Genomic DNA, 15,519 nt, shown 5'->3' on the forward strand with positions numbered 1-15,519 from the left:
CCCAGTGTGTGTTGTTTCCTGCCAATGTGTCCATGTGTTCTCATCACTCAGCTCTCACTTACCAGTGAGAACATGCAGTGTCTGGTTTTCTGTTCCTGTGTTAGTTTGCTGAGGATAACAGCTTCCAGCTCCATTCATGTCCCTACAAAGGACATGATCTCATTCCCTTTTTATGCTTGCATAGTACTCCATGGTGTGTATGTACCACAGTTTCTTTATCCAGTATATTGTTGATGGACATTTGGGTTGATTCCCTGTCTTTGCTATTGTGAATAGTTCTGCAATGAATATACACGGGTATGTATCTTTATAATAGAATAATTTATATTCCTTGGAGTATATACCCAGTAATGGGATTCCTGGATCAAATGGTTTTTCTGCCTCTGGATCTTTGAGGAATCTCCATACTGTCTTCCACAATGGTTGAACTAATTTACATTCCCAGTAACAGAGTAGAAGCATTCATTTTTCTCAGCAACCTCACCTCCATCTATTGTTTCTTGACTTTTTAATAATTGCTGTTCTGACTGGCATGAGATGATCTCTCATTGTGGTTTTGAATTGCATTTCTTTAATGATCAGTGATGTTGAGCTTTCTTTCATATGTTTGCAGGTTGCATGAATGTCATCTTTTGTGAAGTGTCTGTTCATGTCCTTTGCCCACTTTTTAATGGGGGTTGTTTTTATCTTGCAAATTTATTAATTTCTTGTATACTCTGGATATTAGACCTTTGCCAGATGGATAGATTGCACAAATTTTCTCCCATTCTGTAGGTTGTTCACTCTGATGATAGTTTATTTTGCTGTACAGAAGCTCTTTAGTTTAATTAGATCTGATTTGCCACATTTTGCTTTTGTAGCAATTGCATTTGGCATTATCATCATGAAATCCTTGCCCATGCCTATGCCTATATCCTGGATGGTATTGCTTAGATTATCTTCTAAGGTTTTTATAGTTTTGGGTTTTACATTTAAGTCTTTAATCCATCTTGAGTTAGTTTTTGTATATGGTGTAAAGAAGGGGTCCAGTTTTAATTTTCTGCATATGGCTAGCCATTTCTCCCAGCACCATTTATTAAATAGAGAATCCTTTCACTATTGCTTATTTTGTCTGGTTTGTCAAAGATCAGATGGTTGTAGATGGGTGATCTTATTTCTGAGTTCTCTATTCTGTTGCATTGGTCTATGTGTCTGTTCTTGTACCAGTACCATGCTGTTTTGATCACTGTAGATTTGTAGGATAGTTTGAAGTCAGGTAGCATGATGCCTCCAGCTTTGTTCTTTTTGCTTAGGATTGTTTTGGCTATATGGGCTCTTTTTTGGTTCCATATGAATTTTAAAATAGCTTTTTCTAGTTCTGTGAAGAATGTCAATGGTAGTCTAATAGGAATTGAATCTATAAATTACTTTGGGCAGTATGGCCATTTTTGCAATATTGATTCTTCCTATCCATGAGCATGAAATGGTTTTTCACTTGTTCGTGTCCTCTCTGATTTCCTTGAGCAGTGGTTTGCAGTTCTCCTTGAAAAGGTACTTCACTTCCCTTGTTTGCTGTATTCCTGCATGTTTTATTCTCTTTGTAGCAATTGTGAATGAGAGTTCATTCATGATTCGACTTTCTTTTTGCCTATTGTTCGTGTATAAGAATGCTAGCGATTTTTGCACATTGATTTTGTACCCTGAGACTTTGCTGAAGTTGCTTATCATCTTAAGCTTTGGGGCTGAGATGATGGGGTTTTCTATATATAGGATTATGTCATCTGCAAAAAAGATAATTTGACTTCCTCTGTTCGTATTTGAAATACCCTTTATTTCTTTCTCTTGCCTGATTGCCCTGGCCAGAACTTGCAATAGTATGTTGAATAGGAGTGGTAAGAGAAGTCATCTTTGTCTTGTGCTGGTTTTCAAGTGGAGTGCTTGCAGCTCTCACCCATTCAGTATGATATTGGCTGTGAGTTTATCATATATGGCTCTTATTATTTTGAGGTATGTTCCTTCAACATCCAGTTTATTGAGAGTTTTTAACATGAAGGGATGTTGAGTTTTATTGAAGGCCTTTTCTGCATCTATTAAGATAGTCATGTTTTTTTTTTTCCTTTGGTTCTGTTTATGTGATGAATTACATTTATTGTTTTGCATATGTTGAACCAACCTTGCTTCCCAGGGATGATGCCAACTTGATCATGGTGGATAAGCTTTTTGATGTGCTGCAGGATTTGGTTTGCCAGTATTTTGTTGAAGATTTTTGCATGGATGTTCGTCAGGGATATTTGCCTGAAGTTTTCTTTTTTTTGTTGTATCTCTACAGGGTTATGGTATCAAAATGATACTGGCCTCATATAATCAGTTAGGGAGGAATCCCTCCTTTTTCATTATTTGGAATAGTTTCAGTAAAAATGGTACTAGCTAATTTTTGTACCCCTGGTAGAATTCAGCTGAAAATCCTTATGGTCCTGGGCATTTTTTTTGGTTGGTAGGCGATTTATTACTGCCTCAATTTCGGAACTCGTTATGGTTATTTAGTGATTCACTTTCTTCCTGGTTCAGCCTTGGGAGGGTGTAGGCATCCAGAAATTTATGTGTTTCTTCTAGATTTTCTAGTTCATGTCCATAGAGATGTATATAGTATTCTCTGATGGTTGTTTGTATTTCTGTGGGGTCATTGGTGATATTCCCCCCTTACCATTTCTGATTGTGTTTATTTAAATATTATCTCTTTTCTTCTTTATTAGTCTAGCTGGTGGTTTATTTTATTAATTTTTTCAAAAAGCCAGCTCCTGCATTTGTTGATTTTTTGAATATTTTTTTGTATCTCTATCTCCTTCAGTTCCACTCTGATCTTGATTATTTCTTATCTTCTGCTAGCTTTGGGATTTGTTTGCTCTTGGTTCTCTAGTTCTTTTAGTTGTGATGTTAGGTCATTTCATTTGAGATCTTTCTTGTTTTTTTTTTTTTATGTGAGCATCTAGTGCTATAAATTTCCATTTTGACACTGCTTTAGGTACATCCTCGAGGTTCTTGCATTGTCTCTTTGTTCTCATTAGTTTCAAAGACATTCTTGATTCCTGTCTTAGTTTCATTATTTACGCAGAAGTCATTCAGGACGAGGTTGTTCAATTTCCATGTAGTTGTGTGGTTTTGAGTGAGCTTCTTATTATTTTATTTTGAGACAGAGTCTTGCACTGTCGACCAGGCTTGAGTGCAGTGGCGCAATCTCGTCTCACTGCAAGCTCCACCTCCCAGATTCACGCCATTCTCCTGCCTCAGCCTTATGAGTAGCTGGGACCACAGGTGCCCGCCACCAAGCCTGGCTAATTTTTTGTATTTTTAGTAGAGTTGGGTTTCACCATGTTAGCCAGGATGGTCTCCATCTCCTGACCTCGTGATCTGCCCACCTCGACCTCCCAAAGTGGTGGGATTACAGGAGTGAGCCACCACGCCTGGCCAGTTTCTTATTCTTGAGTTCTAATTTGATTGTGCTGTGATCTGAGAGATGATTTTTTATGATTTCAGTTTTTTTGCATTTGCTAAGGAGCGTTTTACTTCCTACTACGTGATCAATTTTAGAGTAAGTGCCATGTGGTGATGAGAAGAATGTATATTCTGTTGTTTTGTGGTGGAGAGTTCTGTAGATATCTGTAAGTCAGCTTGATCCAGAGCTGAGTTAAAGTCCTGTATTTCTTTAATTTTCTGACTCAATGATCTGTCTAATATTGTCATTGGGGTGTTAAAATCTCTCACTATTATTGTGTGGGAGTCTAAGTCTCTTTGTAGGTCTCTAAGGACTTGCTTTATGAATCTGGGTGTGCCTGGGTGTGCATATATGCATATAAATTTAGGATGGTTAGCTCTTCTTGGTCTGTTGAACTCTATATCATTTTGTAATGCCCTTCTTTGTCTTTTTTGATCTTTGTTGGTTTAAAGTCCATTTTGTCAGAAACTAGGATTGCAACCCCTGCTTTTTTTGTTGTCCATTTGCTTGGTAAACTTTCTTCCATCCGTTTATTTTGAGCCTATGTGTGTTTTTGCATGTGAGATGTTTCTCTTGAAGACAACATACTGATGGATTTTGACTCCTTATCTGAGTGCCATTCTGTGTCTTTTAATTGGGGCATTTCTTTTTTTTTTTTTTTCTTTTTTTTTTGAGATGGAGGCTTGCCCTGTCACCAGAAGACAATATACCAATGGGTTTTGACTCTTTATCTGGTTGCCATTCTGTGTCTTTTAACTGGGGCATTTCTTTCTTTCTTTTTTTTTTTTTTTCCTGAGATGGAGTCTTGCTCTGTTGCCCAGGCTGGAGTGCAGTGGTATGATCTTGGCTCACTGCAACGTCTCCCTCCCAGGTTCAAGTGATTCTGCTGCCTCAGCCTCCCGACTAGCTGAGATTACAGGCGTGTGCCACCACACCCCGTTAACTTTTGTATTTTTAGTAGAGATGGGGTTTCACCATGTTGGCCAGGATGGTCTCAATCTACTGACCTCGTGATCTGCCCACCTCGGCCTCCCAAGGGGCATTAATTTCATTTACATTTAAGGTTAGTATTGTTATATGTGAATTTGATTCTGTCATCATGATATTAGCTAGTCATTTTGCCAACTTGTTTATGTAGTTGCTTCATAGTGTCGCTGGTCTGTGTACTTTGGTGTGTTTTTTTAGTGGCTGGTGATGCTCTTTCCTTTCCATATTTAGTGCTTCCTTTAGGAGCTCTTTCAAGCCAGGCCTCAGCATTTGCTTGTCTGAAAAGGATCTTATTTCTCTTTTGCTTATGAATCTTAGTTTGGTGGTATATGAAATTCTGGGTTGAAAATTCTTGAAGAATGTTGAATATTGGCCCCCCAATCTTTTCTGGATTGTAGGGTTTCCATTCAGAGGTCCCCAGTTCGTCTGATAGGCTTCCCTTTGTAGGCGACCTGGCCTTTCTCTCTGGCTGCCCTTAACAGTTTTTCTTTCGACGCTGGAGAATCTGATGGTTATGTGTCTTGGGGTTGATTTTTTTCTTGGAGTATGTTACCGGGGTTCTCTGGATTTCCTAAATTTGAATGTTGGCCTGTCTTGCTAGGTTGGGGAAGTTCTCCTGGATGATATACTGAAGTATGCTTTCCAACTTGATTTCATTCTCCCTGTCTATTTCAGGTACTCCAATCAGTCGTAGGTTCAGTCTTTTTACGTAATCCCTAATTTCTTGGAGGTTTTGTTCATTCCTTTTCATTCTTTCTTCTCCAACCTTGTCTGCCTGTCTTATTTCAGAAAGATAGTCTTCAAGCTCTGAGATTGATTCCTCTGCTTGGTCTATTTGGCTATTGATACTTGTGATTGCATTGCGAAGTTCTTGTGTTGTGTTTTTCAGCTCCATCAGGTCGTTTATGTTCCTCTCTAAACTGGATATTCTGGTTCTCAGCTCTTGTAATGTTTTATCATGATTCTTCGCCTCTTTGCTTTGGGTTAGAATATGCTCCTTTAGTTTGGTGAAGTTTGTTGTTACCCACCTTCTGAAGCCTACTTCCGTCAATTCATTATTCTTAGCCTCAGCCCAGTTCTGTGCCCTTGCTGGAGACATGTTGCAATTATTTGGAGAAGAGGCATTCTGGCTTTTTGGGTTTCCAGGATTTTTGTGCTGATTTGATTCTTTCTCATCTTTGTGGGCTTATCAGCCTGCAATCCTTGAAGTTGATGACCTATGAATGGGGTTTTTGTGGGGTCTTTTTGTAGTTGTAGTTGTTGTTGTTTCCTGTTTTTTGTTTGTTTGTTTCAATCAGACCCTTCTTCCACAGGCCTGCTGCAGTTTGCCAGGGGGACTACTCCAGACCCTAGTTAAGACCCTCCCACACCAGGAGGTATCTCCAGTGAAGGCTGAAAAACAGCAAATACAGCAGCCTGCTCCTTCCACTGGGAGCTCCGTCTCAGGGGGGCACTGACCTGATGCTGGCTGGAACATTCCTGTAGGAGGTATCAGGACATCCTCTACTAGGAGGTCTCACCCAGTCAGGGGGAATGGGTTCAGGGTCCCACTTAAAGAAGCTGTCAGGTTGCCCCTTGGCAGAGTGGTATGCTGCACTGGGGGGATCCCCCCACGTCCAGACTGCCTGGTCTTTGCAGAAGCAGCAGGTGAGAAAGGCTGTAGGCTGAGCTGCAGATACAGTAGCCACTCCTCCCCGTGATGGCTTCATCCCAGGGAGAGATCAGAGTTCTGTTCATAAAACTCTGGCTGGAATTGCTGAAATTCCCACAGAGAGGTCCTGCTAGGTGAGGAGGGATGGATTATCGGGGTCCCACTTAAAGAACCAGTCTAGCTACAATTTGTCACAGCATCTGTGCCACACTGCGGGGAATTCCTCCAAGTCCAGACTGCCCAGACTCCCCAGATCTAGCAGGCCAAAACAACCTGCTCCAGCCACAGAAATGGTGGCCACCTCTTCCCCCAGGAACTCAATCATCTCAGGCAGTCTCCAGCTTGCTGTTGCTGGCCAGCAGCTGGGGTTCCAAGCCAGTGGGTCTTAACTTGTGAGGTGCCTGTGGTAGTGAGGCCCTCAGAATGACTCTGCTTGGCTCCCTGGTTTCCGCCCCCTTCCCAGAGCACTGCACAGAGGAACTCCTGTCTCACCGGAATTCCTGGGGCCAGAGAATGCAAAAACCCCTGTGTCTCCTGTGCTTGTCCAAGAGGCTGCTGAGAGACCTCATGGCTCTGTGCTTCTAACCCAAAGCCCTGGTGGCATGAGCTCATGAGATCTCCTGTCTCATGGGTTGCAAAGATCAGTGGGAAGATAGTGGTTCCCCCCAGCAGGGTCACCCAATCACTCACTGCCTCCCTGGGCTGGGTTTGGGGTTTGTCCTGGTTCTGTGACACTCATAGGTGGGCCGTTGCCCCACCATGCTTTTCCTTACTCTCCATGGGTCGCATCACAACCGCCCGTAGTCAGTTCCGAAGTGAGAACTTGGATACCTCAGCTGAAGATAGAGAATTCACTCACTGTTTTCTTTCTTCTCTGTCTTACTTTTCATTTTATATTTCACATATCACACTATGGAAGACAGTTTCAAAGCCCAGACTCTGTCTTGTCTTCTGTAGGAATTAGTTACAATTTAGGAAACACAAGGTCTTTACTTCTAAAAGATCATAAGGAAGAGTTGTAGCCAGAAACACAAAGCTATGCTGCATCACTGTAAATGGGACTGAGAGCTTTATGTAATAGACTACGGTTTGTAGGCTGTCTCAGTTCCATAATGGAGCTCTCAGATATTTCAAAGAAACTAAAGCAATTTGGCTCATACTTATCAAATGAGTTATCATTTCAAATGCTTGCTACATCTTCAATTATACCATTTACTCATTGAGCAAGGAATGTACTGGTGGGAAAAAGCAAACTTACAATAACTACAAAATAAGGTATCCATATTGTTCAGGACAAATGAAATATTAAGGTGATATAAATGTAAATATTAAGGTAAATAATAGACATATATTTTGTTATAAATAAACGTAAGTAACTGCTATTAGGGAGATAAGTTCTACACCAGATTTACGGGTCTTTTCTTATGGGAGTTGTATGGCTGTTTTATTCTTTGAGTGTTTCTAAAATATGTATCTAATAAGCTAGAAAATGGAGAAAGAATTTGGAACACCATTTTAGATAGAATGGTAAGGTGGAAACCTAGCATGTGACTTTTCAGAAGAGTCTTGAATGAAATGAGTGAGCCATCCAAGAGAAATTCTGAAGATCCAAAGATTTCCTTGCCCCTCAGGCAGAGTTAACAGGAAGTGCAAGTACCCTTAGGCAAGATTGAGCTTGGCTTGTGCCAGGACAATCAGCTGGCCAATACGGATAGGGCAGGTGAGGAGAAGACTAATTAAAGAACAGATAAACAATTTCAGCTGACATTTTTTTCTGTATATTGGAATTACCATATGGTGTCATATTCTTGTTCAAATTTAATGTCATACCCTCCTCCCTTTGTGCTGTTAATGTCACATATTGCTTCTTTCAATGTATAAATCTTACTGTGGTTTTTTCAGTATTAAAATTTTATAAATACTGTTTTATGCAATTAAAAACATCAGCTTGAGAGAAATGGAGGAAAAAATATATTATCCCGTATTTAAAATTTGTCTTTATAATTGAATGTATTGGCACTCTTTGTTTCACCATGTGGGTTTGTATTGCTATCTGGTGTGACTTCCTTTAGTAGTTTCTGTAAGGCGAGGCTTGAAGCAAGAAATTCTCTCAGTCTTTATTCATTTGGTTGTGTCTTTGTTTTGCCTTGATTTTTCAAAGATAGGTTGCTGGATTCTTGGTTGACAGTTGTTTGTTTGTTGTCTTTCAGCATTTCAAATATGTCATCTTAACCACTGCCTTCTGGCCTCTGTTGTTTCTGATAGGAAGTCAGCTGCTAAAGTACTGGGGTTACCCTGTGCATGATGAGTCATCTTTTCTCTTAATGCTTTCAATATTATCTTTGTCTTTCAACTCTTTAACTTTTGATGTGTTAGGTGCGGATCTCTTTGTGTTCATCCTGTTGGAGTTTGTTGAGCTTCTTGGATGTGCAAAGGTCTTCATCAAATTCAGAAGAGTTAGGGCCATTATTTTCTTGAGTATTTTGTCTGCCCCTTTCTTTCTCTCCTCCCATTTTGGTGCTGCTATTAATATATGGTTTGGTTTGCCTAATTGTGTCTTAAAGACCCCTAAGACTTTGTTCATTTTTACTTATTTCTTTTTCTTTTTTTTTTTAGAAAATCTCAGATTGGAATATTTCTATTTATCTATTTGATTTTTTTCTTGTGATCAAACTACTGTTGAGATCCTTATAAAGTTTTTATTTTAGTTATTCGATTTCCAATTCAAGAATTTCTATGTGCTTAATTTTTATAATTTTATTGGTATTATTTGATAGATCATCATTATACTTTTCAGTCTTTAAACATTCTTTTAGTGCTTTGAACAAATTATAGAAGAAGATTTTGAAGCATTTATCTGCTAAGTCCAACATCTAAACCCTTTCAAATGCAATTCTATTGTCTGCATTTTTTGACTGTAAGAATCAAACATACTTAATTTCATGCAATATTTCATGATTTCTGAGACACTATAGAAAATATTGTAGCAAATCCAGATTACGATCCCCCTCTCCCAGAGCTTGCTATTGTTACTTTATTTAGTGATTTATTCTCATAAATATTGTTAAGCTTGTTTTCCCCAGAGTGTGCAACCTCTGGTACCACTGTTCAGGTTTTTACTAAACACGCACATACGCTTAAGCCTGAGTTCCAAAGTCAGTATAGCTTAATGGTCAGCCAATCATTTGTCAGAAGTTGTGCTTTAAGGCCTCTGAGCCAATGAGGCTTTCATCCTTTGCCAATAGATCTGTGTGTGTCTTGAGTGACTTTTTAAAGTTCAAGGTGTTCACAAGTCAGTCCTGCATTCAGCCAAGAACCAATGGCTCACAAGTTTCATTTACTCCTTCATGGAGATAACTTTGTGCCTATACACAGCCTTCCAGGGCACCAGTGAAGAGTCTAGTCTTAACGGGGCCCTTTGGGTTATTGCTGTCTGTGGGTCTCCCTGCTACATTTCTGCTGTTTTGTTTCTTTTTACTGCTATCATGGAGATGTTAGCCTTCACTGGTTGATGATCTCCGTGATCTCTATTGTTTATGACAAAACTACTGGCAATAATTTTTTCCATGCTTTGCTGCAGATAAAATCAGCCCCTTCAGACAAGGGCACTTAGCTGACTATGCCTTAGAGCCTGCCCTGGCAATGCCTGTAGTGGAACTTTTGCACCCTGGAGCTGAGGGAACTGATGGAGAGCTGCAGATCCTCTTGGGCTGACCCACTTGTCCAGAATAGAAATTCCGTAAAACAGAGCTGGGCAGGGAGGGGGTGGCATCTCTTAATAGAAATGTCACAGATTCTCATTTTCCTTACTGAACTTCAGTATATTCTTTTGCATAGCCACTTCCAATTCTTTATATGCCCATTGTTCAAGTCCTAGAGACCACAAAATTGGTTTTCATCAAATTTTTCCAGTTTTGTCACTATTTTTCTGAAGAGAGGATTTGTCAAGCTCCTTACACAGCCATGCAGAAATTCTGGAATATTTTTTATTGATTTTAATAAATGTATACTTAAGGGATATAAAATGGCAGAATGGGTTTGGTGACATATTAGGTACATTAAATTCATGAGTATGCATGTTACTCTGAAGGATAATCCATATGGTAGAATGATTTTCACACCTTAATTCCATGGATTTTAACTTCTTTTGCTGATGTCTATATTTTTTCCCATTAAATAAAATGACCATGTAAATGGATTAAATTATTATTGAGTCAGTGGTTTACTTAACTGACCAAAATTTAGTTTTATTTTGAAATCTAAATACATATGAGTGTGTTAAAATGTTTATTCTACCCTTCCTGTTCCTTTGTTCTAATTTTCCTCTACCAAAACCTACTCTTATTTGATTTCTTTTCATTCTTCTAGTGAAACTGATATCAATCATGCAAATAGTCAAATTCTAATAGTTAAGAAAAAACTATCAAAATTTTCTGTCTCAAAGGCCAGATGGCACCTTGTAGACATTTAAGAGCATTTCATTAAAATAATGGCAATCAAAAAGAAAGTTTTTAACAATTTCCTTTTATATACCTCTTTTTGGGTCATTTTCACACTGTTTTCTCATTCCCGAATATCTTTTTTTAATCTTGGGATTCGTCCATACCTATATGTGGATTATCTAATACACCTAGTTTTCCATTACTTCCCACCATTACATATTGCCAAATATGACATAATGCATGAGTCTTTATAATATCACTAATTATTTAAAATTAAAGTATCGACCAAATAATGATGATTTATAAAGAGTTTTAAAGGGTGTTCTAAAACAGTCAGAAAGGAAATTTCCAGACAAATACTTTCTGAAATTCAGTTTATGGGCAGATAAAACTAAAATATTTCAGTTGAATGTAATTAATAGAGCGTATACTATTCAATATTGAACTCTGCTTGGAGTATTCCAAGTAACGATAATATGGTTAACCTTAAACAAAAACAGAAACAAAACCAAATCCTGCAGCTTATTATTTGGCAGACAGCCAAATGAATATTGGCATAAATAAGTAGTCCCTGAAAAGTATACAAGACATAGAAATTAATTATCCTAAACTAGTTAATTATTTCTTTTCACTCAGAGCATGAACGCATTTTTGCTAACTGTTATTAATTTCAGGAGAAAAATCTATATTACAGGACTCAAGAAATCTTCCCTGAATGCACTGTTTTGGGGAAAAAAGGAAATGTTTCCTCTTATTATTATAAAACATACCAGAAGGGGTAGTGCTTACCTGGCTTGCTACCTGAAAATTAAAATGTAAAATACTGACTATATACAGTTTTAAATATATATCTTTAATATATTCTTTAAACTTCAGTTATAAGAGATGCCCAAATTCACACTATGAAAGACATAGGTATCATTAGCAATATAGTTACTTTAAACCTAACATGTAATTATCTAGAAATAATATCCACTGGGGTTCATGAGAACCTCTCCATTAGGGCCATGAAAAACTCTTAGCTTAATGTGGCTAAAAGCATAGCACTTACAAAATATCGAATCTGGATTTCTCTTTTCATTGGCCAGGTTCTCATTTCTCTTTTTATCCTGAACTAGCTTACGCTAGAAAGAGTATTTCCTTATGGCAAGACCCTTGTTACTGATTAAAGACAATTAAGACACTTGGCCTCTTCATCATCTCAAGTGTAAAACTTAAATTTGGTTTTTATTCAAGTGCATTTAAAGGTGGTTGCTACTCTTCAGTGGTCTCCACAAAGTACCTACTACTACTACTTTCAATTCTTTATTGTCTATCCATGCTGAGCTGGGCTGTAGTTCTGCCCTCTATTATTAGGCACCTCATTTGCCCATCATCCCGTATTCTCTATGATGTGAAGATTTGGTGTTTTCTAGGATCTGGTCTGGATTTTCCTTTTTTATTATCTATAAAATATCTTTATCCTTTTTTATATCTATAAAATATCTATAAAACATTTGCACAGTAAATTTTTAGTTTTTTTTAATTGCATGTTAATCATCCACTGGAAGACTCATAGACTACTGTGACTTTCAACACTTTGCCTGCAGAGTAAAGGACTTTACTCATATTCCTTGCTTTAATGTGTGTGCAGCAATTTCTCAAACTCAAATTTATATCTTATTTAATTTTGTTATGAAGGAAGAGTCCAAAATTAACTAGAGAATCTATTTTTTGGGTCAAGAGCCAGGATATTCCTGATGTTGATACAGAATATGTCATTCATTGAAGTATTTTTGTACTTGTTCTTCTGGAAGTGTGTTAGTAATAGGACAGAAAACTAGCTTTATCTAAATAGCTTTCTAATGCCTTCAATTATTTTGCTTATTAAAACCTGTAAAATAATGTCTTCAGTGCTTAGCAGATAATTTAACCTAAAGTAGTAGTTCACAAATATTTATGTAGATGCATGCATTTTAAGCTACACTAATACATTCAACTGAACATTTCTTTGACAAAGAGAAAAAGTATGGAAGCACATAATAAATTTGAAGGAGAATTCAGGAATATGGGTATCCCCAGCTCACAGGAGCTTAAGTAAGATTGATGGAACTTCACTGACCACTGAAATATGAATCTAAATGCCAGGGTTTATATAAAGCTAGAGAATGACCATAAGACAGATTATTCCACAGGTGGAGCAAGGGGATATTCAAGATCACTTGTACTGTATAATAAAGGATCTGTTTCTGTCGTTGAGATCATACCTTCTTTGTCATCCAAACTTGGAGTTCGAAATGTTGACCAATTCCTCTTATGCTTATATTTAGTAGGACACCAAATGCTGTGTGTCACTCTAATTTTTTTCATTCTTATTGCTATCAAATTGAACAAAATATGTTCTCTACAGCAGCCTCTTCAGAAACTATTGTGACTCAAGCCTCATTTCCCTCTAACTCATTGTTTCTGCATGTCATGGAAATATTGATAGGTCTTAAATACTCTTGCTTTCTAAAAAAAAGTAACACAATACTTTCATGAATTGAAATCAATATGAATTGCGTTCTGTTTATTAACAAGTCTAAAACTCTCTGACTGAAAATGAGAAGAATGATCTGATCCTCCATGCAACCCATTTAGCCATGTCTGCCTTTCAAATATTTCTACCCTTATCTGATTATTCTCCTTTCTCTTCCACAAAACACTCTCTTACTTCCATGGTTTTATTTTAGTCTTTTTCTTTGCATGAGTACACACACATATTAATTGTACCAATTCAACACTTAAACATTCAAGTTAAAATACAAAATGTTGAGGTTTTTTAAAATAATTTATTGATTGTCAGTTTATTAATAAATCTCTATTTTTTCTTTCTTTTTAATTTTTTAAATTTTTTTATTATACTTTAAGTTTTAGGGTACATGTGCACAACGTGCAGCTTAGTTACATATGTATACATGTACCATGTTGGTGTGCTGCACCCAATAACTCGTCATTTAACATTAGGTGTTTCTCCTAATGCTATCCCTTCCCCCTCCCCCAACCCCACAACAGGCCCCTGTGTGTGTCCCTTCCTGGACACAGTTCCCCTTCCTGTGTCCATGTGTTCTCGTTGTTCAATTCCCACCTATGAGTGAGAACATGTGGTGTTTGGTTTTTTGTCCTTGAGATAGTTTGCTGAGAATGATGGTTTCCAGCTTCATCCATGTCTCTACAAAGGACATGAACTCATCATTTTTTATGGCTGCATAGTATTCCATGGTGTATATGTGCCACATTTTCTTAATCCAGTCTATCATTGATGGACATTTGGGTTGGTTCCAAGTCTTTGCTATTGTGAATAGTGCCGCAATAAACATACGTGTGCATGTGTCTTTATAGCAGCATGATTTATAATCTTTTGGGTATATACCCAGTAATGGGATGGCTGGATCAAATGGTATTTCTAGTTCTAGATCCCTGAGGAATCGCCACACTGACTTCCACAATGGTTGAACTAGTTTACAGTCCCACCAACAGTGTAAAAGCGTTCCTGTTTCTCCACATCCTCTCCAGCACCTGTTGTTTCCTGACTTTTTAATGATCACCATTCTAACTGGTGTGAGATGGTATCTCATTGTGGTTTTGATTTGCATTTCTCTGATGGCCAGTGATGATGAGCATTTTTTCCTGTGTCTTTTGGCTGCATAAATGTCTTCTTTTCAGAAGTGTCTGTTCATATCCTTTGCCCACTTTTTGATGGGGTTGTTTGTTTTTTTCTTGTAAATTTGTTTGCATTCATTGTAGATTCTGGATATTAGCCCTTTGTCAGATGAGTAGATTGCAAAAATGTTCTCCCATTCTGTAGGTTGCCTGTTCACTCTGATTGTAGTTTCTTTTGCTGTGCAGAAGCTCTTTAGTTTAATTAGATCCCATTTGTCAATTTTGGCTTTTGTTGCCATTGCTTTTGGTGTTTTAGACATGAAGTCCTTGCCCATGCCTATGTCCTGAATGGTATTGCCTAGGTTTTCTTCTCTATTTTAAAAGCCTGGATGATTTTTAGTGTATCATACAATTTAGTTCTTAACTATATGTACTATTTTACATTGATTCTTTATTATCATGTTTGATTAGTCCTTGCATCAGTTTGGAGGGCCAGCTAAAAGGAATATTTAATTAGCAGCAGCTAGTTACTTGACTTAAAATGTACGGTGTCAGTGTGGATTTGATTTGTTGAATAGCCATTAAATTTTCTATTCAGAGAGTGAATTTTAAAAGTACTTTCAATTACTTCAGTGTCATAATACATCTATTTAACTGATTTAATATTATATTTTGAGCTCCTAAGTGCATTTAGATTTTTATTTCTTACAAGGATAATGAATTTAGTTATTGAGTCTAACAAATATAAAAGAGAGCTGTTACCTTTATTCTATTGTTTCAAAGAACGTTTTGTGGACAACTAGGAAAGCCTGAATGAAGAATTATTAAATAGTAATGCTCTCATTCACACAATACCATCTGAGGAGGAGTCTGAAAGGAAAAAGGAGTGTTAATAGGCAGGGTCATATTGTGTCAATGTGCTAATGCTATCACATTCTCTCCATCATATGAACATGCTTGACTGACATGTCTCTGCTCTTCTCCAGTGATGCATGGCTTGTTCATTGTGTTGGGCAGAGTTAGCTGCCAGACATTGCAACTGGGGCATCAAGCTGAGTTTCTTTATCTGTCATTTGCATTTCCTCCTTTCAAAATATTTATTTTTTATAAAAAAATTAACACAACTGTCAATAATAAATTTGGAGCTGTGCTAAATGTAAATTTTACACCACATATTCCAGAGATTCTATTCTAATGCCCCCACTCCAAAAAATATAGAAGAGTGAAGGTGGATCCTAATTCTCAATTCACCTTTTTAATTATATCTTTAAAAAGAAAAAAATAAGTTTTCACTGTGTGAGCTTAATTAAAGTAAATGGAGAGTTTAAAAGATGAAAGAAGCATGT

The sequence above is a fragment of the Homo sapiens genome, chromosome 5 (assembly GCF_000001405.40).
Source record: "Homo sapiens chromosome 5, GRCh38.p14 Primary Assembly".
Taxonomy (NCBI): domain Eukaryota; kingdom Metazoa; phylum Chordata; class Mammalia; order Primates; family Hominidae; genus Homo; species Homo sapiens.